A 24,002-nucleotide genomic window follows, 5' to 3' on the forward strand; every position below is an offset into this window, starting at 1 on the left:
CTCTACTCATGGATGCCGAACGATGTCTGTGTCTTGCACTTTGCTATCCAGTGTGTGACCCCACTTATGTAACACTACACATGCCCATAGATTCTCAAGGTCACAGACATGCAGGAAACAGTCTGGACACTTGCGAGTGCAAGCTTAAAGATTTTTCTTTCTTCTTTAGAATTGTCTGTAATGTCCAAATTCTCTAGAAAAACACACAATTGTTAACTTTTGTGAGTTTTTACTGTGTGTCAGCCACAATGCTTTTACATGGATTATCTCATTCCTCATGAGGTGGGTGCCATGGTTTTCCATGTTACAGATATGGATAGTAAGGCCCAGTGAGGTTAAGCCCAAGGTCACATATTAATAGCTTGTGATTAACAAACTCAAATGTTGCTGGAGGATTAAATGAATGAATGCATGTATTTGCACACGGTTAATGCACAGTAGTACTTGGCACACAGTATGGGCTCCATAAACGAGGATCATCATAATTAGGGCCAGGCACGGTGGCTCATGCCTGTAATCCCAGCACTTTGGGAGGCTGAGGCAGGTGGATCACCTGAGGTCAGGAGTTCAAACCAGCCTGGCCAACATGATGAAACTGCGTCTCTACTAAAAATACAAAAAATTAGCCTGGCATGGTGGCGTGAGCCTGTAATCCCAGTTGCTTGGGAGGCTGAGGCAGGAGAATCTCTTGAACCTGGGAGACAGAGGTTGCAGTGAGCCAAGATCATGCCACTGCACTCCAGCCTGGGTGACAGAGCAAGACTCTGTCTCAAAAAAAAAAAAAAAAAAAAAGGATTATCGTAATTATTATATATCACTCGTCATACTGCACTGCTCTTATGGACTGTTGTCTGCTTCCCTGCTCTGGTGTGTAAAAAGTTTGAACATAGGATCTGAGTCCTTTTATGCCAGAATCTCTTGCACACAAAACAGTGTCGTGCAGAGTCAGCATTCATCAGATGCTTATTGAAAGAGTGAGTGAATCAATTAATAGACAGATGTCCAGAGCTCTATAAATACATTCTTCCAACTATTATACTTTGCATGGGTGGGTGTGTCCTTATCCCAATAGGATTACAAATTCCCTGAGATCAAGAACAATCTCTGGGCCAGGCATGGTGGCTCACACCTGTAATCCCAGCACTTTGGCAGGCTGAGGTGGGCAGATCACCTGAAGTCAGGAGTTCAAGACCAGCCTGGCCAATATGGTGAAACCCGTCTCTAATAAAAATACAAAAATTTGCTGGGCATGGTGACACATGCCTGTAGTCCCAGCTGCTTGGGAGGCTGGGGCAGCAGAATCGCTTGAACCTGGGAGGCAGAGGTTGCAGATTGTGCCATTGCACTCCAGACTGGGCGACAGATAGAGACTCCGAGTCAAAAAAAAAAAAAAAAAAGAACCACTCTCTCTTTTCCTCTGGCTCCCATTATGATCTGGAGCAGGCCAATAACCCAAGCAGGTGTTCAATAAATGGTGTGGTTGACTAAGGATCCCCATCTCAGCTGCTGTGGCAGATCCCAGGCAGTATCCGAGAAATGGCTGGAGCTGGGACAGATCCCGGGTCCACAGCCTCACATAAGCTATTTTTTCTTCCAACTCCAAGTCAAGAACACAGAGAGGCTAGGAGACATACCTGAAGTCATATAGCACATGGTGGTAGGGTTGCTGTGTCTCATCACCTGGCCTGTGTTCTTTCATCTATAACACCCTAGTTCTACAGATACTCAAAATTTGAGAAAATGGAAAAAGAGCAAAGTCTTAAGTCAAAGGTTTAATCATGATCCAAGAGCCCAGAGAGACTTTAGGACAATAATAGGAATAAAGCAAGGCCCACAGGCTCCAGCTCCTGATGCCCAGATGTTCGGCAGGATCCGGGGACAGGGCAGTGCAGGCAGTAGTTTTCCATCCTCCACTCAGAGGAGGAGACGAGGGGGCAGGAGCCTTCTTCACAAAGGAGAATGACTTTCTAGGCTGCCTCAGAACACCCAGTCCTCCCTACCCTAACCCTAATCTGGAATGCAATAGAGAATGGCTAACTTATTAGATTCTGGTGATCCTGGTAGTCAAGAGGAAGGGCTCAGAAAGGGGCTTGGTGGAGCTGGTCACCACCAGATGACATGGCTAAATTGTGGCCACCAAGGAGGGGCAGCATGAATCAGAAGTGGAGATGGGGTGGAGGGAATGAGGACTGGACCAGTAAGGATCTGGAGGTCATAACCCTTAGCTTCTCCTGTGCCCTCATCTGCGCACTGCACCTCCTTCCTGCTGCTGTCCTTTCCTCACCCCTTGTGGGCTGCAAGTCCACCTGGGTGTGGTGGAGGGGAAGAGGGCCCTGGGGAAGTCCAGCTACCATAGGCTCAGGAGCAGAATCAAGGGAAGCGTGCAGGAGAAAAGAGAGGGCACCCAGGGCTGTGGCCTCACAGCAGGGTTTTCATTCTGTGGAAGAAATGGAATGGAGTTAGCTCAGGGGATTTTCTTTAGCCCTTTCACTACCTCAGCCTCAGTCAAGAGGTATTCCCCTTCCCCTGAGGTATCCATTAGAGGTCTCTAGTATTCAGGGCAATGAGGAGGTCAGCCCCTCGCCTCTATCCCTTTGTCTGCCTAGTTTGGGTTTTCCCCAGCCGGCCCAGTAAAGGTCTGAGGGGTGTAACAGAGGAGGCCCTACCTGGTGTGCCATCACAGCAAAGGTAGGGTGTGGCCAGTCCTGGGAGAAGAGTTGGCTGTGAAAACGCATCTTAGCTGCAATGGCCTCCGCTGAAGAGAGGAGAGAAGGCTCATTGGAAGGGTATGGGGGCAGGAGATTTCTCAGGCTCCCAAGGAAGGAAAGGGAATGCCACAGGGACCCTGGGCTATAGGGGAGCAAGTGGGTGGGAGGTGGAAGTGGGATACTCTCTCATTCTGCTTGTTTCTTGAGCTGGAGATGTCCCTGGGTTCCAGACAGGTTGAACAGGCAGCGTGGGAGGTTTCTCAGGGAGTGGGAGACAGAAGAAAGGCCTGGGCTATGGCAATGAAAGCCTATGCTAGGAACTGCTCTGTTTGGTGGAGATGGATGGAACCAGCCTGGGCCACAGAGTCGACCCTTTTCCTTCCCTTGAGTCCAGCTGACTCAGCCCCAGGGGCTGGGAGCAAGTACAGCACACTCACTGAGGCAGGGGTTGTGGGAGAAGAACCCTTCCAGCATTTCACACTCCTCCTGCAGGTTGCCACTGCCTCGGCAGGTGCAGCTTAAGGCAACACTGGTGTTGACATTGCTGACAAAGTTGGGGGTCATGGCAGTCCCTGTGAAGAGGGAAAGGGTAGTCAAGGCCTAGGCTAACCCTAACTTTAGCTCCCACCTTCTTCCACCCATGTCAGGATCACATCCTTTATCTCCGGAGCATTCTTACCCTCAGGCCTAGCCAACATAGGGTTCCCTACACATGCCCCCAGCCTCACCAATCAGCCCCAGGTATGCTCGTAGACATCTGGACTGCTCTGTTGCACAAGTTCCTAGGATGTCCATGGGATGGCAGTGGGTCTGGAAATCCACCAGGCGTGATCTGGAAGAAGGGAAATTTCTGTCTTTCTTTTTTTTTTTTTTTTGAGATGATGTCTCACTCTCTCTTGCCCAGGCTGGAGTGCAGTAGCTCAATCTTGGCTCACTGCAACCTCTGCCTCCCAGGTTCAAACAATTCTCCTGCCTCAGCCTCCCGAGTAGCTGGGACTACAGTCACGTGCCACCACACCTGGCTAATTCTGTATTTTTAGTAGAGACGGGGTTTCACCATGTCGGCCAGGCTGGTCTCAAACTCCTGACCTCAGGTGATCCACCTGCCTTGGCCTCTCAAAGTGCTGGGATTACAGGTATGAGCCACTGCACTCGGCCAGAAAAATTTCAAGTCACTCTTGAGGGTCCAGCCTGCAGCCTTCTCCCTCATTCCCCCTTAGCTTGGCATGCCCATTGTCGTGCCAAATCCTCCTCTGCCTTCAGAGCCTGGCCCAGAGCCTTTCCTCTGTGAAGTGTGCCCCTGTAACAGTTAAATGTACCATTCCTTGGAACCCATAGCATTTCACTCTGAGTTTGGGCTCCACGATCCCTACTTATGAGATCTCAGATAGCTTCTTTAACCTCAGTTTCCTCAACTATAAAATAGAGATGACAGCAGCACTACCTCGTGGATTTTTGTGAGGATGAAGTAAGAGAATGCATAAGCCAGGCATAGCGGCTCACGCCTGTAATCCCAGCTACTTGGGAGGCTGAGGTGGGAGAATCAGTTGAGCTCAGGGGTTGGAGACTACCCTGAGCAACACAGCAAGACCCTGTCTCAGAACGAAAGAAAGAAAAAAAAAGAAAGAGAAAGAGAGACAGAGAGAAGAGAAGGAGAAAAGAGAGAAGAGAAGAGAAGGAAGGAAGGAGAGAGAGAGGAAGGAAGGAAGGAGAAAAAGAGAGGAAGGAAGAAAGGAAAGAAGTAAGGAGAGAAGAAGAGAAAGAGAGAGGAAGGAAAGAAGGAAGGAAGGAGGGAGGGAAGGAAGGAAGGAAAGAAGGATCGATTTACCTTATTGGGGTTCTTGTGAGGTTTAGATGAGTTAATATATGTTAAGTACTTAAAACAGTATCTAGCCCTAGTAAGTATTTAGTTATTCAGTAAATGTTAGTATTATGATTATTAAGAGCCCTGACTATAAGATAGTTTACAGATGAGGAAAGTGGTAGTCTCAGAAGTTAAGTAACTTGCCGAAGGTTACAAAGAACTAAGTAGGAGAACCAAGTTGCAAACCAAGGTTATTGTCAACAAATGTCACTTGAATGAATGATAGCTTCAATTTTGTAAGTGTTTTGTCCTGAGAAGACACAGGAAAGCCAGATCAGAATTTCAAATTTCCTGAAGAGAATATTTATCAAATCTATCAAATACCTTACCAATCTCCCATGTCCTTTGATCTGGCAATGGTACTAGTAGCAGCACATCCTAAGTAATAACTACATTAGTGCACAAAGATTAAAGAGTAAGAGTTGGGCAAGCATGGTGGTTCATGCCTATAATCCCAGCACTTTGGGAGGCTGAAGTGGGCTGATCACTTGAGCTCAGGAGTTCAACACTGGCCTGGCCAACATGGCAAAACCCCATCTCTACTAAAAATACAAAAATTAGCTGGGCACTGTGGTGTGCACTTATAGTCCCAACATACTCAGGAGGCTGAGGCTGGAGAATCGCTTGAACCCAGGAGATAGAGGTTGCAGTAAGCCGAGATCACAACACTGCCCTCCAGCCTGGGTAACAGAGCAAGACTCTGTCTCAAAAAAAAAAAAAAAAGAAGAAGAAGAAGAAGAAAAAAACCAATCTGGCTGGGCACGGTGGCTCACACCTGTAATACCAGTACTTTAGGAGGCCAAGGTGGGCAGATCAACTGAGGCCAGGAGTTCGAGACTAGCCTGGCCAACACAGCGAAATCCCATCTCTACTGAAAATACAAAAAAAATTAGCTGGGCGTGGTGGCAGGCGCCTGTAATCCCAGCTACTTGGGAGGCTGAGGGGGGAGTATCCCTTGAAACCAGGAGGCGGAGGCTGCAGTGAGCCGAGATCGCACCACTGCACTCCAGCCTGGGTGACAAAACAAGACTCCGTCTTAAAAAAAAAAAAAAATCGCTGGGCACGGTGGCTTATGCCTGTTATCCTAGCACTTTGGGAGGCTGAGGCGGGCGGATCACGAGGTTAGGAGATGGAGATCATCCTGGCTAACACGGTGAAACCCCGTCTCTACTAAAAATACAAAAATTTAGCCGGGCCTGGTGGCACATGCCTGTAGTCCCAGCTACTTGGGAGGCTGAGGCAGGAGAATCACTTGAACCTGGGAGGCAGAGGTTGCAGTGAGCCGAGACTGCGCCACTGCACTCCAGCCTGGATGACAGAGAGAGACTCCATCTCAAAAAAAACAAACAAAAAAAAACAAACAAAAAAAAAAACAAAACAAAAACCTAAATATCTAGCAATAGAGGAATGGTTAAATTAAGTGTAGGGCATCCATACATGGAATATAATGCAGGCATTTAAAAATCAAGTTCTTGGCTGGGTGTGGTGGCTCACACCTGTAATCCTAGCACTTTGGGAGGCCAAAGCAGGTGGATCACAGGGTCAGGAGTTCGAGACCAGCCTGGCCAACATAGTGAAACCCCATCTCTACCAAAAATAAAGAAATTAGCTGGGCATGGTGGCACAAGCCTGTAGTCCTAGCTACTCGAGAGACTGAGGCAGAAGAATCGCTTGAACCTGGCAGACAGTGGTTGCAGTGAGCCAAGATCGTGTCACTGCACTCCAGCCTGGGTGACAGAAGGGGACTCTGTCTCAAAAAAAAAAAAAAAAGTTCTTAAAGGACAGTAAGTAAAAAAATAAGCACTACCATTTATTGAGCACTTACTCTTCACCGGTACTCTACACCACTCTACATAAATTATGTAATTTAACTCTCACCAGAATCCCATGAGGTCTGCATTATTATCCCAGTTTTTACAGGGGACTAAACGGAACCTTAGGTTTAGTGATGGAGTTTTTAGGTTAAGTGCTGTGCTCAAGATCGCAGAGACCCAGGGTTTAAATTCAAACCCGTCTGACTTCAGATCCTGTCTTACCACTACTCCACACCACCTCCACAGAAAAATGCTCATGAGACATGTGCCGTAAGAGAAAAAAAGTAAGACACAAATACATTCTCAGAATGTCTACTTTTGTTATCTGGATAGAAAATGACTGGAAGGAAATGCTTCCCAAAGTATGATAGATTATCTTCAGGTGATAGAATTTTTAATGATTTTTTAAAATACATTTTTATATTTCCTGAGGTTTTACAGCAAAGAAAAAAAAGACATATATTCTTTTTGAGAAAAGACTTTCACAAAATATCCAAGGTAGCTACTTCGTGAAGCAGCCAGTGGGTCCACGGTTCCCTGGGAGGGTCAGACCCTGCTCAGCACAGGAACGTGGCCAGGAAGGAGTGGCGTGTGCCTCATCCCTGCCCACCCTGTCCTCCCAAACTACACACCTGCAAAGCGGGTCGGAGAAGCAGAGGCGCCGCAGCTCCAGGCAGTTGGGGGCCACAGGCGGCAGCGCGCAGTTGGGGGCGATGGTGTTGCGCCGGCGCTCCCCGCAGCCCCGGTCGTTGGGGGCACATGGGCACAGTAGCAGGCCCTGCGCGTGGGGCTCGGCGGCCTTCTCGAAGAAAGTGAGCAGCTGCCTGAGGCAGACGTGGCGCTGGCAGTGGGGCCCGGAGCACGCCTCCCCGTAGGCCTTGCGCAGCCGGTCACACTTGTCATTGAGAGTACACAGCATGGCAAACTTGAGGCAGAGGTCTGAGTCTGGGGGGAAAGGGCACGGAGTCAGTCGGCTGGGCCCTCTGCACGCCTGCACCCCAGGTTCCACAGGAACCCCGGAAACCCCTGATTTGACAAGAAGGTAGTGGATATAGGAGGAAAAGAAGGCCTGTCATGAATAAACCCACTCCTAATCCAGGGCTTCCCCTCTCCCCACAAACTCTACCTGCTGTTTTGAAGCCTTCCCCACCCTACTCCTCTTTTTTTTTTTTTTTTTTTTTTTTTTTTTTTGAGACGGAGTTTTGCTCTTGTTGGCCAAGCCGAAGTGCAATGGCGTGATCTCGGCTCACTGCAACCTCCGCCTCCTGGGTTCAAGCAATTCTCCTGCCTCAGCCTCCCGAGTAGCTGGGATTACACGCATGCGCCACGACGCCCGGCTAATTTTTTGTATTTTTAGTAGAAATGGGGTTTCATCATGTTAGCCAGGCTGGTCTTGAACTCCCGACCTCAGGTAATCCGCCCATCTCGGCCTCCCAAAGTGCTGGGATTACAGGCATGAACCGCCGCGCCCGGCACAACTCCTCATCTTGACTACGTAAAATAATAAGAATAATCACTATCATCATCTATATGCATCGAACACCCATTTATCTAGAATTCAAGCAGCCAGAAAGCTTAAATAACCATACCTCTTTCCTCAGTGCTATGCTGTGAGATCTGATGGTAGAAATGATAACCTAGAGTACCTGCAACATTCTAAAGCACTTTCAGAACTGTCCAAAACAGATGCATCCAAATTCTATTTTAGGTTTCTGGTTTGGTTTTGGCTTCGTCTGCACCTATCCTGTTCCATTTTAATGTCACCTGCCCATCTTTCATTAATTGATTCATGTATACTCTGTTCCCCATACTCTGAATCTTGGGAAATTATGGTGATATTTCTATTAACAGAATATTCCAGCAGCCACAGCAATCAAGTAATTGCAACAGGTTATTTGCTGATCTTGTCACTTAGAGTTTTTCATGCATGAAACTCTATGCCTTTTTCTCAAAATTCTAATTCTAATGATAAAGCTCACATCTTTCTCAAAAAGAGAGTGCATGTGTGTATGTTTTTCCTCAATTAACTCATAGCCTCACTTTCCTGAAAAACATGCAACACAGTCCTTGCCAGACTGATGGCTCCCCACCCTGAGTCACCCCGTGCAGAGTCACACTCTCTTTTCCTGCCCAATACCTCGCCCATCCCATTAGAATGGTTGAAAACAAGCAATTTCCTAGTCTTCAGGGACAAAAAGGCTACTTTCCCAGCTGCCTTGAATGCAAGTAAATACTGCATTTCAGCACAATTTTTCCTGGGGCTGCTGCCACTCCCACCACGCCCTTTGCAGGGGCTCGCCTTGTGGAAACAGGGAGCCCTAATGGGCTCTCTTCAAATGCCTCCCTAATAACTGCTGTCCTTTGGAGACCCCTGTGAGACCAGATCATGCCCCAGAGCTCACACTTCCAGCCTGACACAGTCTTCCTTAGTCACCTGGTAGGCTAGAAACATTTCCCTTATAAGCTCCCCAACTTCTGCCCCTCCCCAGCCACCCTTCCTCCAGGGTCCAGCCCCAGCCTCTGGTTCCCGAGCCTAGTTGCCCTCCACACCTGGTTTGAGCATGTTCAGTTTGCTGAGATTCATTTTCCAGGGTTTGCTGGTCACTGTGTCTTCATAGGGGGAGACATCCAGCTCATAGTTACCTAGAGACAAGGTGGGGAGCACCAGAATGCTGAGGACCAGGGTGGGGTAGGCTGGAGGGGCTGAAGCTGCTGGCTCAGACCTCAAAGGCCTGTGGAGAAAAGGAAAAGCACAGCCTCTACCTAACCAGCTGCAAGCTGTGCAAAGATGAGAAAAATGCAGGGCCGTAAGGTATAGGCTGGGCTCCACCAATAAGCCATAAGAATAATAAGAGCTACCATTTGTTAAGCACACTGTGTGCTGAGCACCATGCTATAAGTGAGGTAAATAAATATGCTGAGCACCATCGCACTTACGCGATGGTGCTCAGCACACAGTGTAGGGAGGCAAGAGGATTCAGGGAGAAGCCTCTGAGGAAGTTCGGAAAGAGAAGTGATTAGGATGAGGAGTAGAAAACAGGGAGCAAGGAGTGTGGTAAACTGTATTATTGTTTCCAATTATTTGTTCCCCACCCCTTGGGAGGATTATACGTCCCCACCTGTTGCCATGTAACTTTCACACCCCCTGTGAGAGGCGTACACTTCCTCACCCCACTGATGGCAGGCTTGGCCAGGTGACTTGCTCTGGTCTGTGGATTGTGAGCTGAAGTGATGTAAATCACATCTGAGCAGAAGCTTTAAGAATCTTCACATGGTTCTGCTGCTACTCTTTCTCCTCTACCAGCCTGGATCTTCCAGTGAAGAAGACAAGTAGAACAGAGACAAGGCCAACTCATAGAAGCCTCCAGCAGATGTGTAACATGAGCAAGAAATACATTTTTGTTGTTGAAAGCCAGAGATTTGGGAATTGGTTGTTGCAATAGCATAACCTAGCAAATTCTTACTAAAAATGCAATGGGGTGCCGGGCACGGTGGCTCACACCTGTAATCCTAGCACTTTGGGAGGCCTAGGCGGGTAGATCACCTGAGGTCAGGAGTTCGAGACCAGCCTGGCCAACATGGTGAAACCCCATCTCTACTAAAAATACAAAAATTAGTTGGGCATGGTGGCGCATGCCTGTAATCCCAGCTACCTGGGAGGCTGAGGTGGGAGAATCACTTGAACCCGGGAGGCGGAGGCTGCAGTGAGCCAAGATCATGCCACTGCACTCCAGCCTGGGCGACAGTGAGTCTCCATCTGAAAAAAAAAAAATGCAACTGGGAGGCTGAGGCAGGAATATTCCTTGAACCTAGGAACTTGAGACCAGCCTGGAGAACACAGCAGGACTTCATCTCTACAAAAAATTTAGCTGGGTCCGGTGGCACACACATATAGTCCCAGCTACTCGAGAGGCTGAGGTGGGAGGATCACTTGAGCCCAGGAGGTTGAGGCTGCAGTGAGCTATGACTGTGCCACTGCACTCCAGCCTGGGTGACAAGTGAGACTCCAACTAAAAAAAACAGCAAAAATAAAATGCAATTGGTACCTAGAAGTGGAGCGCTACAGTAATAAAATAATATAATGTGTGTCATTGGCTTTGGTACTGGGCAATGGGTGGTAAGGAAGCTGTTACTGGGGGCTGGAAAGATGGCAGTCTTCATTATGCAGTGGCAAAGCATCTGGTAAAATTGTTGTGTGTGATAACTGGGAAGATTATATGCTGAATGAGTTTGTACTGTTAGGGGAAGCTGAGAAGCAGAAGTTTACTAGTATGTCTTGATTGCTATTGGCTGCATTTGGCAAGGTACTACAAGATATAAGCTCAGAAAAGAATTGGCCAGTTCCCAAATGTGGAGGAAAAGATAATCTAGAAATTTCAGGACTTCCAGGATTAAGAAATGCAACTGTGCTGGGCGCAGTGGCTCATGCCTGTAATCCCGGCATTTTGGGAGGCCGAGGCAGGCAGATCACGAGGTCAGGAGTTCAAGACCAGCCTGACCAACATGGTGAAACCCCCTCTCTACTAAAAATACAAAAATTAGCCAGGCATGGTGGCAGGGGCCTGTAATCCCAGCTACTCAGGAGGCTGAGGCAGGAGAATCGCTTGAACCCGGGAGGCAGAGGTTGCAGTGAGCCAATATCACGCCACTGCACTCCAGCCAGGGCAACAGAGGAAGACTCTGTCTCAAAAAAAAAAAAAAAAAAAAAAAAGAAGAAGAAGAAGAAATGCCACTGTTTCTTGTATTCATAAGGTAAAAGATAAAACATAAAAAAAAATGCTTTGAGTGATAAGGTTGATTACAACTCAGCCTTGGGGAAAAGACCAAATGAGGTATGTGGCTATCACACTGTTTGTGGATATCTCTCAGTCGATTAAGATGGTACCCAATAAGTCCTGCCAGTTGGACAAATGTACTCAGGGAAAAAAGACTAAAGTAGTGGCTCTTCCACAGAAGCCTGATAAGGGCTAGGTGCTTCTAATTAGGTGTAGAAAAAGAGGCATGTCTTGAATTGTGGGAAAGGCCACAGGCACATGAGATGATAGAAATCAAAGATATAAGCAGCAATTATGTTTTCAGAGAGTTGTACTACAAAGAGCTACCAGTGTAGATTAAAAGAGACTGTGACTATTTGAGACTTAAAATGCCCCAACATTTCTCAGGCAGGAAGCAGGCTGAGAATGCGGCTCAGTCCTCAGGGAGAATGTAGTCCCTAATACCCTTTTCAAATGTGGCCAAAGAGAAAACTGAAAGAGGAAGGACCTTTCCAGAGGGCTGGGCCAAGAGCTCTGGAAAACAATGGATAGGGCAACTACTCCCGTGGAGTAAAAACAGGGCCTTATTAAAGAACAATCCCTATTCCCAGGGAAGAGGACCCTTACAACATTTGTCTAGCAGGATTTCAGAATTGCTATGAATCAATGTCTGCTGTGTGTCTCCCATTCATTCATTCATTTATTTATTTGAGACAGGGTCTTGCTCTGTCACCCAGGCTGGAGTGCAGTGGTGTGATCATGGCTCACTGCAGCCTCAACCTCCTGGACTCAAGTGATCCTCCCACCTCAGCCTCCCGAGTAGCTGGGACCACAGGTGTGCACCACCACACTCAGCTAATTTATTTATTTTTTTGTAGTGATGGGAGCTCGCTATGTTGTCCAGGCTGGTCTTGAACTCCTGGGCTTTAGGGATACTCCCGCCTTGGCCTCCCAAGTTGCTGAAGTTACAGGTGTGAGCCACCACACTTAGATGCCCATTCCTCCCCTTTCTGAGAATGTTTGTTGTGGTTATCCTGACCCTGTTCCGTTATTATATGCTGAGTACGTATAGGAAGCAGATGACTTGTCTTTTTAGTTCATAAGTTTTTAGATTAAGAGGAGCCACATCCAGACCCAATTTGGAAACTATCATGAGATCCTAGACTTGAAGCCTGATGTCATGTTTGTTTGTTTGTTTGTTTGCTTTTTGCTTGTTTTTTTCGAGACAGAGTCTCGCTCTGTCGCCCAGGCTAGAGTGCAGTGGCGCAATCTCGACTCACTGCAACCTCTGCTTCCCGGGTTCAAGTGATTCTCCTGCCTCAGCTTCCCAAGTAGCCTGGGATTACAGGTGCCCACCACCATGCCCAGCTAATTTTTTGTATTTTTAGTAGAGATGAGGTTTCACCATGTTGGCCAGGCTGGTCTTGAACTCCTGAACTCAAGTGATCCGCCTGCCTTGGCCTCCCAAAGTGCTAGGATTACAGGTGTGAGCCACCACACCCGGCTTGATGTCAGGTTTGAACAGAGCTTTTAGGGCATCTTCCATGGAAAATAGGTGGGTATATTTTACTTGCAGAAGGGAGAGAAATGAATACTTTGACAATGGTAGATTGTATTATTGTTTCCAATCATTCTTTGCCTTCCCTGTAAGATTGTATATCCTCACTTATTGCCATGTGATTTTTGGTATCTCCCTGTGGAAGAAGTATAATTCTCAATCCAGTGATGTCAGGCTTAGCCATGTGACTTGCTCTCTCAATGAAATGTAAGCAGACGTAGTGTATATAAGATTTGAGCAGAAACTTTAAAAATCATCATGTGGTTCTGCCAATGCTCATTTCCTTCTGCCACGAGAAGGGAACATCCCAGACAGAGGCTGCACCTTGAGCCTGGATCCCAGAATGAAGAAGGCCCATGAAAGAGCCAATACAGAACATGAGCAAGAATTAAACCTTTGTTTTGCAAGTCACTGTTTTGTTACAGCAACATAGTCCGGTAAAAGCTGACTAATAAGGGGCCTATGGAAAGAGTGACAAGCAGCTCCTCTTTGGCTCTTTCTGTGCCTTCTCTCTCTTACATCTCCTGGCTGGTTAATGAGTATTCTTTCTGTTAAAGGCTGGACCAAGATGTTACCTCCCCATCTCTCTGAACTTGGTATTTGGAGCCTGTTTATGGGTTAAGACTTTTTTCTCCCATCTCCTGTCCATACCCGCTGTTCCAGGAACTCCCCAGGTTGGGCCTCAGCCTGGTTCACAGCTCTGCTAAGTGGGAACTGACATGTTGCCAGGTAAGAAAGGGGGAAGTAGGGAGAAGAGAGGGCAGTGTTATGGGGCCCCAAGGAGATCCCAGCACTATCCCTCCACCTTTCCTGATGTCAAATGCAGAGCTTCATTATCCTCCTCCTCAGATTCTACCATGTGGCCCATATCCTGCAGGATTAAAAAACAACCCCCAAGAGCCATCTTCCCCAGCTTAGTCCACTCTATAATGGGAGCCTCACCAAGGCTGCGGGCACGGTGAACGGTCCAATAGATGTCCAAGCAGGCAACCTGGTTCTTCATGCGCCGGTGGCACATGCAGCCTATCAGAGAGCTGTTCCTGAGTTGCTGTGCTGCCTCCAGGCAGTCAGCAGGGACCGAAGGCTCCTCTGAGGGCAGTGGGGTGCTTATGCTAGAGGTGCAGGAATCCAGGTGGTGGTAGGCAGCACTGCAGGTGGGATCAGCCTGGCACTTCCTCCTGGCCTGGAGACAGCTGTTCATGAGTCGGCTTTCTGTGGGAAGGGGGTCTCCTGTAAAGGGAGATACCAGGTGAGGCTACGTAAGATTAGAATAGCTGTCTGGGAATACCAAGTCATGAGGTTGGGAGAGGGATATTCCTGATGAAACTTTGTGAAAGTCTTAGGGTAGCACAAAAGGCCTTTAAGAATAAGTGTGGAGAGAGAGAGAAGCCCAGCAGGACTGGATAGTCTGCAGCTGCCACAGTCGGGACAGAACAGACCAGGCCCAACAAGAAATAGGGGTTTGCAGAGAGGCTGCTCAGCCTTCAGGGAGGTGAAGGGAATAGTTGTTTGAAGGCGAGCCTGATGACCCTGACAGGCACAGAGGAAGGGGTCCCCAGGCAGAGCCATGCCATGGGCAGGGCTAGTATCAGAACCAGAGAGTTGAGAATGGACAAGGGAGTGCTAAATGGGAGTCAGCAATAACTTTGAGTCTCCCATTAAAAATCATTTAAAAATACCTGAAGGTGGAAACTGGCTGGGGTTGGGGTAGAGAGCTAATTCCAAAAGGAAAGAAAGGGTAACCTGACCCTGTCTCTTACTCAGAAATACCAAGATTCCTCCACAGCCCGGAAGGAAGCCCCTGCATCCTAGGATTTAGGGTGCTCAACATGGGGTAATAGAACATCATCATCTCACTAGCTGTTCAAAGATAAAAATCTAGGAGAACTTTTTTTTTTTTTTTTTTTTTTTTTTTGAGACAGAGTTTCGCTCTTGTTACCCAGGTTGGAGTGCAATGGCGTGATCTTGGCTCAACGCAACCTCCGCCTCCCGGGTTCAAGCGATTCTCCTGCCTCAGCCTCCCGTGTAGCTGGGATTACAGGCGTGCGCCATCACACGCCCAGCTAATTTTATATTTTTAGTAGAGACGGGGTTTCTCCATATTGGTCAGGCTGGTCTCAAACTCCTGACCTCGGGTAATCCGCCCACCTTAGCCTCCCAAAGTGCTGGGATTACAGGCGTGAGCCACCGCGCCTTAATTCATCTCTTTCTTTCACAGCCTGTGTTCAATTCAGCAAGTCCTGTCAACTCCATAACACATCTGGAATCTGCCCACTTTTCTCCATGTGTGTCACTACCTCCTTAGATCAAGCCACCATCAACTCTTCTCCTTCTTCCCTCTTCTTTCTTCCTTCTCCTTCTCTTCTCCTTCTCCTTCTTCTCCTTTTTCTTTTTTAGATAGGGTCTTGCTCTATCTCCCAGGCTGGAGTGCAGTGGCACGATCACAGCTCACTGCAGCCTTGACCTCCTGGGTTCAAGCTATCCTACCTACCTCAGCCTCCTGAGTAGTTGGGACTACAGGCACATGCCACCACATCTGGTTAATTTTTGTATTTTTAGTAGAGATGGGTTTTCATCACGTTGGCCAGACTAGTCTTGAACTTCTGACCTCAGATGATCTGCCTGCCTTGGCCTCCCGAAGTGCTGGGATTACAGGCATGAGCCACCACACCCAGCCAGTACCTCATTGTTCTTTATGGATGACTAATATTTCATTATATCGATATGCTACATTTTGTTTATGCATTCTTCAGTTAATGGACACTTGGGTTGCTTCCACCTTTTGGTTATTGTGAATAGCGCTTTGATGAACATTTCATGTACAAGTATTTGTTTGAACACCTGTTTTTTGTTCTTTGGGATACATACCTAGGGATGGAATTGCTGGGTCATACGGTAATTCTATGTTTAACTTTTTGAGGAACCGCCAAATTGTTTTTCACAGCAGCTGTACCATTTTACATTCCCATCAGCAATGTACAAGGAGTCTAGTTTCTATACATACTGCCAACTCCTGTTATTTTCCATTAAAAAAAATTATAACCATCCTTGTGAGCATGAAGTGGTATCTCATTGAGGCTTTCATTTGCATTTCCCTAATGACTAAGGATGTTGAGCATATTTTTATGTGCTTGTTAGCCATTTGTACATCTTCCTTGGAAATAAAGTTTTTGTTGAGGTGTAACACAGAAAAGTACATGAATCAAAAATGTATAGCTCAATGAATTTCACAAATTGAATACACTTGTGTAGCCAGAATCCAGATAAAGGAATAGAACATTATCAGTAACCCTGAAGCCCTCTTCCAGTCACTGTGCTCCCAAGTAAACCAGTATCTTCATTTCTTTTTCTTTCTTTCTTTTCTTTTCTTTTCTTTTCTTTTTTTTTGAGTCAGAGTCAGGCTGGAGTGCAGTGATACAATCTCAGCTCACTGCAACCTTGCAACCTCTGCCTCCTGGGCTCAAGCGATTCTCCTGCCTCAGCCTCCCGAGTAGCTGGGACTACAGGCACCCGCCACAATGCTCAGCTAATTTTTGTACTTTTAGTAGAGAAAGGGTTTCACCATGTTGCCCAGGCTGGTCTTGAACTCCTAACCTCAAGTGATCCACCCACCTTGGCCTTCCAAAGTGCTAGGATTACAAGTGTGAGCCACTGCGCCCAGCCTGTCTTCATTTCTTTTACTTGTCTTCTGGTTTGTTGAAGCAATAGGTCAGACGTTTGCCAAAATAATGTCTGTCAGAGTGGCTGGCCATAAACACTTCAGCACCACATTCATCTGAAGGGTACTCCTGACGAAGGTGACTATTTTTGCTATTCTCATCCACCTTATGGTATTTTAGGACAGCCAGCTTCACCTTTTTTCTTTTATGCTTTTTTTTTTTTTTTTTTTTTGAGACCAGGTCTTGCTCTGTTGCCCAGGTTGGAGTGCAGTGGCATGACCTCAGCTCTCTGCAATCTCCGCCTCCTGGGTTCAAGTGATTGACCTGCCTCAGCCACCCAAGTAGCTGGGATTACAGGCATGCGCCACCACACCGAGCTGGGTTTTGTAATTTTAGTAGAGAGGTAGTTTCACCATGTTGGCCAGGCTGGTCTCGAACTCCTGGCCTCATGCGATCCATCTGCCTTGGCCTCCCAAAGTGCTGGGATTACAGGCATGAGCTACAGTGCCTGGCCTATTCTTTTTGGGAGTAGTTTAAGACTTCTTCCTTTTCTTAGGGCCACCACGAAGTCTCAACACAAGAAGGGTGGACTCCTTTTGAATGTTGTAGTCAGACAAAGCACATCCGTCTTCCAGTTGCTTGCCAGCAAAGATCAGTCTTTACTCGTCAGAAGGAATTCCTTCCTTATCTTGGATGTTGGCTTTTACATTTCCTTGTATCCAAGGGTTCAACCTCAAGACTGATGGCTTTCTCCATAAAGGTTGTTATGAAAATCTGCATTTTGGTGGTGGCTCCACTGCAGATGGTGGATCGAAAAGGCAGTATCTTTGTCTCTAACATCAGGGATTAGTTTTGCCCCAGTACAGCCAACTGATCTTGGCAACAAAGCAAACGAAAACATAAAGTGGGGAAAGAACAGCCTTTTCAACAAACGGTGCTGGGATAATTGGCTACCCACATGTAGGAGAATGAAACTGGGTCCTCATCTCTCACCTTATACAAAAATCAACTCAAGATGGATTAAGAACTTAAATCTGGCCACCACGCCTGTAATCTCAGCACTTTGGGAGGCCAAGGCGGGTGGATTACCTGAGGTCAGGAGTTCGAGACTAGCCTGATCAGCATGGTGAAACCCTGTCTCTACTGAAAATACAAAAATTAGCTGGGTGTGATGGCGGGCGCCTGTAATCCCAGCTACTCAGGAGGCTGAGGCAGGAGAATCGCTTGAACCCAGGAGGCAGAGTATGCAGTGAGCAGAGACTGTGCCACTGCACTCCAGCCTGGGCAGCAGGGTGAGACTCCATCTGAAAAAAAAAAAAAAAAAGAAATCTAAGAACTGAAACTATAAAAATTATAGAAGATAACATTGGAAAAATCCTTCTAGACCTTGACTTACGCAAAGATTTCATGACCAAAACCCAAAAGCAAATGCAAAAAAAAAAAAAAAAAGATAAATAGCTGGTACTTAATTAAACTAAAGAGCTTTTGCACAGCAAAAGGAACAGTCAGCAGAGTAAACAGACAACCCACAGAGTGGGAGAAAATTTTCACTATCTATACATCTGACAAAGGACTAATATTCAGAATCTACAACAAATTCAAACAAATCAGCAAGAAAAAAACAAACAGTTGGCTGGGCGCAGTGGCTCATGCCCGTAATTGCAGCACTTTGGGAGGCCGAGGTGGGCAGATCACAAGGTCAGGAGATTGAGACCATCCTGACTAACACGATGAAACCCCATCTCTATTAAAAATACAGAAAATTAGCCAGGTGTGGAGGCGAGCGCCTGTAGTCCCAGCTACTCAGGATGGTGGTGAGCTCCTGTAGTCCCAGCTACTCGGGAGGCTGAGGCAGGAGAATGGTGTGAACCTGGGAGGCGGAGCTTGCAGTGAGCCAAGATCATGCCACTGCACTCCAGCCTGGGTGACAGAGCAAGACTCCATCTCAAAAAAAAAAAAAAAGAAAAAGAAAAAAACAAACAATCCCATCAAAAAGTGGGCTAAGGACATGAATAGACAATTCTCAAAAGAAGATACACAAATAGCCAACATATGAAAAATTGCTCAACATCACTCATGATCAGTAAAATGCAAATCAAAACCACAATGTGATACCAACTTACTACTTCAAGAATGGCCATAATCAAAAAATCAAAAAACAGTAGATGTTGGCATGGATGCGGTGATCAGGGAACACTTCTACACTGCTGGTGGGAATGTAAACTAGTACAGCCACTGAGGAAAACAGTCTGGAGATTCCTTAAAGAGCTAAAAGTAGTCTGGGCGTGGTGGCTCACCCCGTAATCCCAGCACTTTGGGAGGCTGAGGTGGGCAGATCACCTGAGGTCAGGAGTTCAAGACCAGCCTGGCCAACACTGCAAAAGCCCGTCTCTACTAAAAATACAAAAATTAGCCAGGTGTGGAGGCGGGCACCTGTTATCCCAGCTACTCGAGAGGCTGAGGCTGGAGAATCACTTGAACCCAGGAGGCGGAGGTTTCAGTGAGCCGAGATCAAGCCATTGCACTGAAGCCTGGGGCACAAGAGCGAAACTCTGTCTGAAAAAAAAAAAAACAAAAAACAACAAGCCAGACGCAGTGGCTCAAACCTGTAATCCCAGCACTTTGGGAAGCCGAGGTAGGCAGATCATGAGGTCAAGAGATTGAGACCATCCTGGCCAACATGGTGAAACCCCATCTCCACTACAAATACAAAAAATTAGCTGGGCGTGGTGGCGTGTGCCTATAGTCCCAGCTACTGAGGAGGCTGAGGCAGGAGAATCGCTTGAACCTGGGAGGCGGAGGTTGCAGTGAGCCGAGATCATGCCATTGCACTCCAGCCTGGTGGTGACACAGCAAGACTCCATCTCAAAAAAAAAAAAAAAAAAAAGTAGAACTACCATTTGATCCAGCAGTCCCACTACTGAGTGTCTACCCAGAGGAAAAGAAGTCATTATACCAAAAAGATACTTGCACACTCATGTTTATAGCAGCACAATTTGCAATTGCAGAATCATGGAACCAACCCAAATGCCCATCAATCAACGAATGGAACAGAAATTGTGATAGAATAGAATACTACTCAGCCATAAAAAGGAATGAATTGGCCAGGCATGGTGGCTCACGCCGGTAATCCCAGCACTTTGAGAGGCTGAGACAGTCGGATCACAAGGTCAGGAGATCAAGACCATCCTGGCTAAAACAGTGAAACCCCGTCTCCACTAAAAATACAAAAAAAAAAAAAAAAAAAAAGTTAGCCAGGTGTGCTGGCAGGCACCTGTACAGCTACTCGGAGGCTGAGGCAGGAGAATGGCGCGAACCCGGGAGGCGGAGCTTGCAGTGAGCCGAGATCACGCCACTGCACTCCAGCCCGGGCGACAGAGCCAGACTCCGTCTCAAAAAAAAAAAAAAAAGGAATGAATTAACAGCATTTGCAGCAACCTAGATGAGATTGGAGACTATTATTCTAAGTGAAGTAACTCAGGAATGGAAAACCAAACATCGTATATTCTCACTGATATGTGGGAGCTAAGCTATGAGGATACAAAGGCATAAGAATGATACAATGGACTTGGGGACTTGGGGGGAAGCGTGGGGGAGGGGAAGGGATAAAAGACTACAAATAGGGTGCAGTATATACTTCTTGGGTGATGGGTACACCAAAATCTCATAAATCAGCACTAAAGAACTTACTTATGTAACCAAACACCACCTGTATGTACCCCAATAACCTATGGAAAAGAAAAAGTATATCAGAATTTCTCTAGGAAATATGTATTTCCAAAAAGCATATTTGATAATTTTACATGTACAAGATGAAAAAAAAAGCTTTTGAGATTTCAAAAAGTATTTAAGGAAGGTATGAGATTTTATATATTTACCAAAAGGGGAACATGGATTTAAAAAGATTGAGGAATTTCTACAAGTTTACGATGTTACTTCCGGTAGGTACTGAATAAGTGGTAAGTACACAAAGAAAAGTGGCAGATTCAAGTTCTATTGTTGTAACTGGACTAAAAATAATTTTTTTTTTTTGAGGTGGAGTTTTGCTCTTGTTACCCAGGCTGGAGTGCAGTGGCGCGATCTCGGCTCACTGCAACCTCTGCCTCCCGGGTTCAAGCGATTCTCCTGCCTCAGCCTCCCAACTAGCTGGGATTACAGGTATGCCCCACCATGCCTGGCTAATTTTGTATTTTTAGTAGAGATGCGATTTCTCGATGTTGGTCAGGCTGATCTTGAACTCCCGACCTCAGGTGATCTGCCCGCCTCGGCCTCAACAAAGTGCTGGGATTACAGGCATGAGCCACTGTGCCCGGCCATAAATATTTAACTGTACTAACTATTGAGTTGTAAACATTTTCAAAAGAAAACAATTTCTTAGTTGACACTTTACCAAGTTTGAGCAGTGATGGATTTAGGGGCATTCATCTCAACAAAGAACTTGGGGGCCACGTTAAATTTCATCTCAACAAGGTGGAACCTGTGTTTCCTGGATTGTGAAACACAGGACTTGATCCAGGGCAAAGGTCATAATTTGATCCAGTGTGCAAATGTGTCTTTTTTAGTCAGCATAGTTCCGTTCCTTTCTTTTTCTTTCTCCTTTCTCCTTTTCTTTTCTTTCTTTTAATCTCTGTCACCCAGACTGGAGTGCAGTGGTACAATCGCCACTCACTGCAGCCTACAGTCTCGACCTCCCAGGCTCAGGTGAATTCTCCCACCTCAGCCTCCCAAGTAGCTGGGACTGCATGCATGCACTACCACGCCCAGCTAATTTTGTATTTTTTGTAGAGATGGGTTTTCACCATGTTGCCCGGGCTGGTCTCGAACTCTTGAGCTCAAGCAATCCACCCACCTTGGCCTCCCAAAATGCTGGGATTATAGGCGTGAGCCACCATTCCCGGCAGTATTTTCTTTTCTGTTTTTTTTTTTTTTTTTTTTTTGTGTGTGTGTGTGTGTGTGTGTGTGTGTGTGGTTTGGTTGTTTTATTTGTTTGTTTGGTTGGTTTTTTTTGCACGTTCACAGTATTTTCTTTTTCTTTTTTTTTTTTTTGAGACGGAGTCTCGCTCTGTCACCCAGGCTGGAGTGCAGTGGCGCGATCTCAGCTCACTGCAAGCTCCACCTCCCAGGTTCACGCCATTCTCCTGCCTCAGCCTCCCGGGTAGTTGGGACTACAGGCGCCCACCAGCATGCCTGGCTAATTTTTTCTATTTTTTAGTAGCGACGGGGATTCACTGTGTTAGCCAGGATGGTCTCAATCTCCTGACCTCGTGATCTACCCGTCTCAGCCTCCCAAAGTGCTGGGATTACAGGTGTGAGCCACTGCACCCAGCCAGTATTTTCTTAAAGTTGTAATTAGTGGCCAACATTTAAAAATCAGATTTTAGGCCGGGTGCGGTGGCGCACACCTTTAATTGCAGCACTTTGGGAGGCCAAGGTGGGCAGACTGTTTGAGCCCAGGATTCAAGATCAGCCTGGGCATCCGAGATGGCAAAAACCCGTCTCTACAAAAAATACAAAAATTAACCAGGTGTGGTGGCACACTACTACAGTCCCAGCTACTGGGGAGGCTGAGGCAGAAGGATTACTTGAGTATGGGAGGTTGAGGCTGCAGTGAACTGGAATCACACCACTGAACTCCAGCCTGGGTGACAGATTGATACCCTGTCTCAAAAAAAAAATCAGATTTCAAATAAAACTATTAATTTCCAATTTGTCTTGAAAAATGGAAACACTCGGGCCCACATGTAACGGGTGGAGTAATGACTGCCCCCTTTTGACAAGTCATGCCTTTTCCAGCTTGTTATAGTCCATACCACTTTCTATTACTTGCCCCACCTCCTCATTTATACAGCCACTGCCACGTCTATTTCATATTGATTTGTTAGCAACCTGGTTTTGTAACTTTGTTTTCTGCTTCTTGGCTCATCAGAGAATGAGTAGCTACAGAATGGGTCAGATCAGGCTATGCCTCAGGGCACAAGATCCTCATTTGTTTCTCATCAGTGAGGCCCACAACCCAGGTATCCATTTTATAGTTGGATGAACAAAGAAAAGTAATGTGCACCAGGGGATGTAGCAAGTCAAGACCGAGTCAAGGCTAGAACCCAGGACTCCAGCCTCCTATCCACTTCAGAATGATTTTCAGTACATGACACCACTTCCCCATGAATCGGAGGTCTCCTATATGCTTGGCTTTAGCAGGCCCTGAGCAATGATATTTTCCACCCCCAAAGCCCTCTGTTGGTCTGTGCTCTTGAAGAGCACTTGGCTCTACATGGTACCTCCTAGATGACTGTTTTATGGATTTTCAATGAGGCTACTTAACCAGATGTCATTGCTGTCAAGTATTACTGTGGAAAATAGATCTGTCACCAACACTGCTTCATTAAACCATTTAATGAGAAAGGTGTTTAATGTTTTCCCCTGATCCTGACATGCAGCCATAACCTTTAGGATTAGTGAAATTTCCTGGGCAGTCAAATCAGACTGGTGATGTCTTGCTGCCCTGACTTACTGATGTTGGCAGGTGGACAGACCAGGGTTTTTCCTCCTTCCTTCCATATCTGTCTCAAGGCAGCATTTCTACAGCACTGCGTTGTGGACTGAGGTCTCAGGGCAGTGTGGTGGTCTCTCTGTCTCAGGAGTCCCTCCATTCAGTCTCTGGGCAGGAGCCGCATAATAAGATTCCACACACCCATACCACTCACGAAGGCCATGGGCCTTCCAGGGATCTCGGATCCCAGGCTGTTCTTCCTTGGGGGAGTGGCCTGGTTCTAAAACCAGGCCTTGAACTACATCTACAAAACATCTATTGTGGATTATTTATTATCCAAGGGGCAAGCCACTGTGCTAGACGGCTTGCAAGGCCTGCTATTGTAGAAGGTTATGAAACAAGTCAGTTTTAACGAACTTCTTTTTCTTCACCTGTACCTAGTTTCTTCCTCAGTCCTTAAAGCAGATGGAAGAGTTAAAGCCCACGTGGAGCAAATGACACTCTGTTTCTGATCTGATTCTCCCCGCCTCTTAGAGACGCTGTCTTGGTAGTGACCTGGCTGTGGGTTGTTCTGTGACTGTGTAGACCTACCTCAAAAGAGGGAAGAGGGGGGAAAAAGGGGCGAGGAGGAGATGCTTGGGTGGCCAGGCCATTGCTGGCACTCAGTCTATCTCAGTTCGTACACTGTGTTAGGTGTGACCCCAGCCCCTTGCAGGCACCCTGGGCTTCCTGCTCCAGTTCCCCTTGTTCGGCTCGGATGCACCGGGAGGCTGCTGCGCCCTCTCCGGACAGGTGCCCCGGGCCTCGCCTACACCTCACCTCCCCCTCCCACTGTACCCCCGGCCGGTGCGCGCTCTGACACTCACCGGCTGCGAGAGGCAGCGGCGACGGCGGCAGCAGCAGCAGCAACATCAGGACTACGGGCGGCAGCGGTCGCGGGTTCAGGGGGCGCACCATGGCGAGCTGTAGGCGCCGGGCTCCGCGCTCCCCTCGCTCCTCCCCTGGAGCTCTGAGAGCGGGGCTCCCTCGACCGGCACCTCCCGCCCCCGCCTCCCGCCCTCCAGCGCGACGCACACACTCTCCCACCAGGGTCCTGGGCGCCGCCCTCCAACTCCGAAGCGCGCGTCCACACCACGCGCCTCCAGCGCTGGTCCG

The 24,002-nt window shown here is 47.3% G+C and overlaps 1 protein-coding gene and 1 pseudogene across 1 annotated transcript, besides 4 other annotated features; both read right to left on the bottom strand.

Moving 5' to 3' along the window:
* GFRA3 (GDNF family receptor alpha 3) lies at nucleotides 1,760-24,001 on the bottom strand. The gene is made up of 8 exons (NM_001496.4): nucleotides 23,714-24,001; nucleotides 13,641-13,928; nucleotides 8,937-9,029; nucleotides 7,019-7,331; nucleotides 3,437-3,540; nucleotides 3,146-3,280; nucleotides 2,667-2,755; nucleotides 1,760-2,437 (listed from the first exon to the last, which is right to left on the bottom strand). Exons 1-8 carry the CDS (start codon nucleotides 23,802-23,804, stop codon nucleotides 2,348-2,350), a joined length of 1,203 nt encoding a protein of 400 aa, NP_001487.2. The 5' UTR covers nucleotides 23,805-24,001; the 3' UTR covers nucleotides 1,760-2,347.
* Nucleotides 2,433-2,492: an enhancer, noted in NCBI's record as "active region_23196". NCBI's record gives its function as "activates an Ori minimal core promoter by ATAC-STARR-seq in GM12878 lymphoblastoid cells {active_cell/tissue: GM12878}" and the evidence as "EXISTENCE:reporter gene assay evidence [ECO:0000049][PMID:35858748]".
* Nucleotides 10,606-10,806: a silencer, noted in NCBI's record as "peak5491 fragment used in MPRA reporter construct". NCBI's record gives its function as "represses an SCP1 promoter by STARR-seq MPRAs in K562 erythroleukemia cells {active_cell/tissue: K562}" and the evidence as "EXISTENCE:reporter gene assay evidence [ECO:0000049][PMID:32103011]".
* Nucleotides 12,866-13,066: a silencer, noted in NCBI's record as "peak5492 fragment used in MPRA reporter construct". NCBI's record gives its function as "represses an SCP1 promoter by STARR-seq MPRAs in K562 erythroleukemia cells {active_cell/tissue: K562}" and the evidence as "EXISTENCE:reporter gene assay evidence [ECO:0000049][PMID:32103011]".
* Nucleotides 16,379-17,137, bottom strand: RPS27AP18 (RPS27A pseudogene 18; annotated as a pseudogene).
* Nucleotides 23,724-23,913: a silencer, noted in NCBI's record as "silent region_16387". NCBI's record gives its function as "represses an Ori minimal core promoter by ATAC-STARR-seq in GM12878 lymphoblastoid cells {active_cell/tissue: GM12878}" and the evidence as "EXISTENCE:reporter gene assay evidence [ECO:0000049][PMID:35858748]".

The sequence above is a fragment of the Homo sapiens genome, chromosome 5 (genome assembly GCF_000001405.40).
Source record: "Homo sapiens chromosome 5, GRCh38.p14 Primary Assembly".
NCBI lineage: Eukaryota > Metazoa > Chordata > Mammalia > Primates > Hominidae > Homo > Homo sapiens.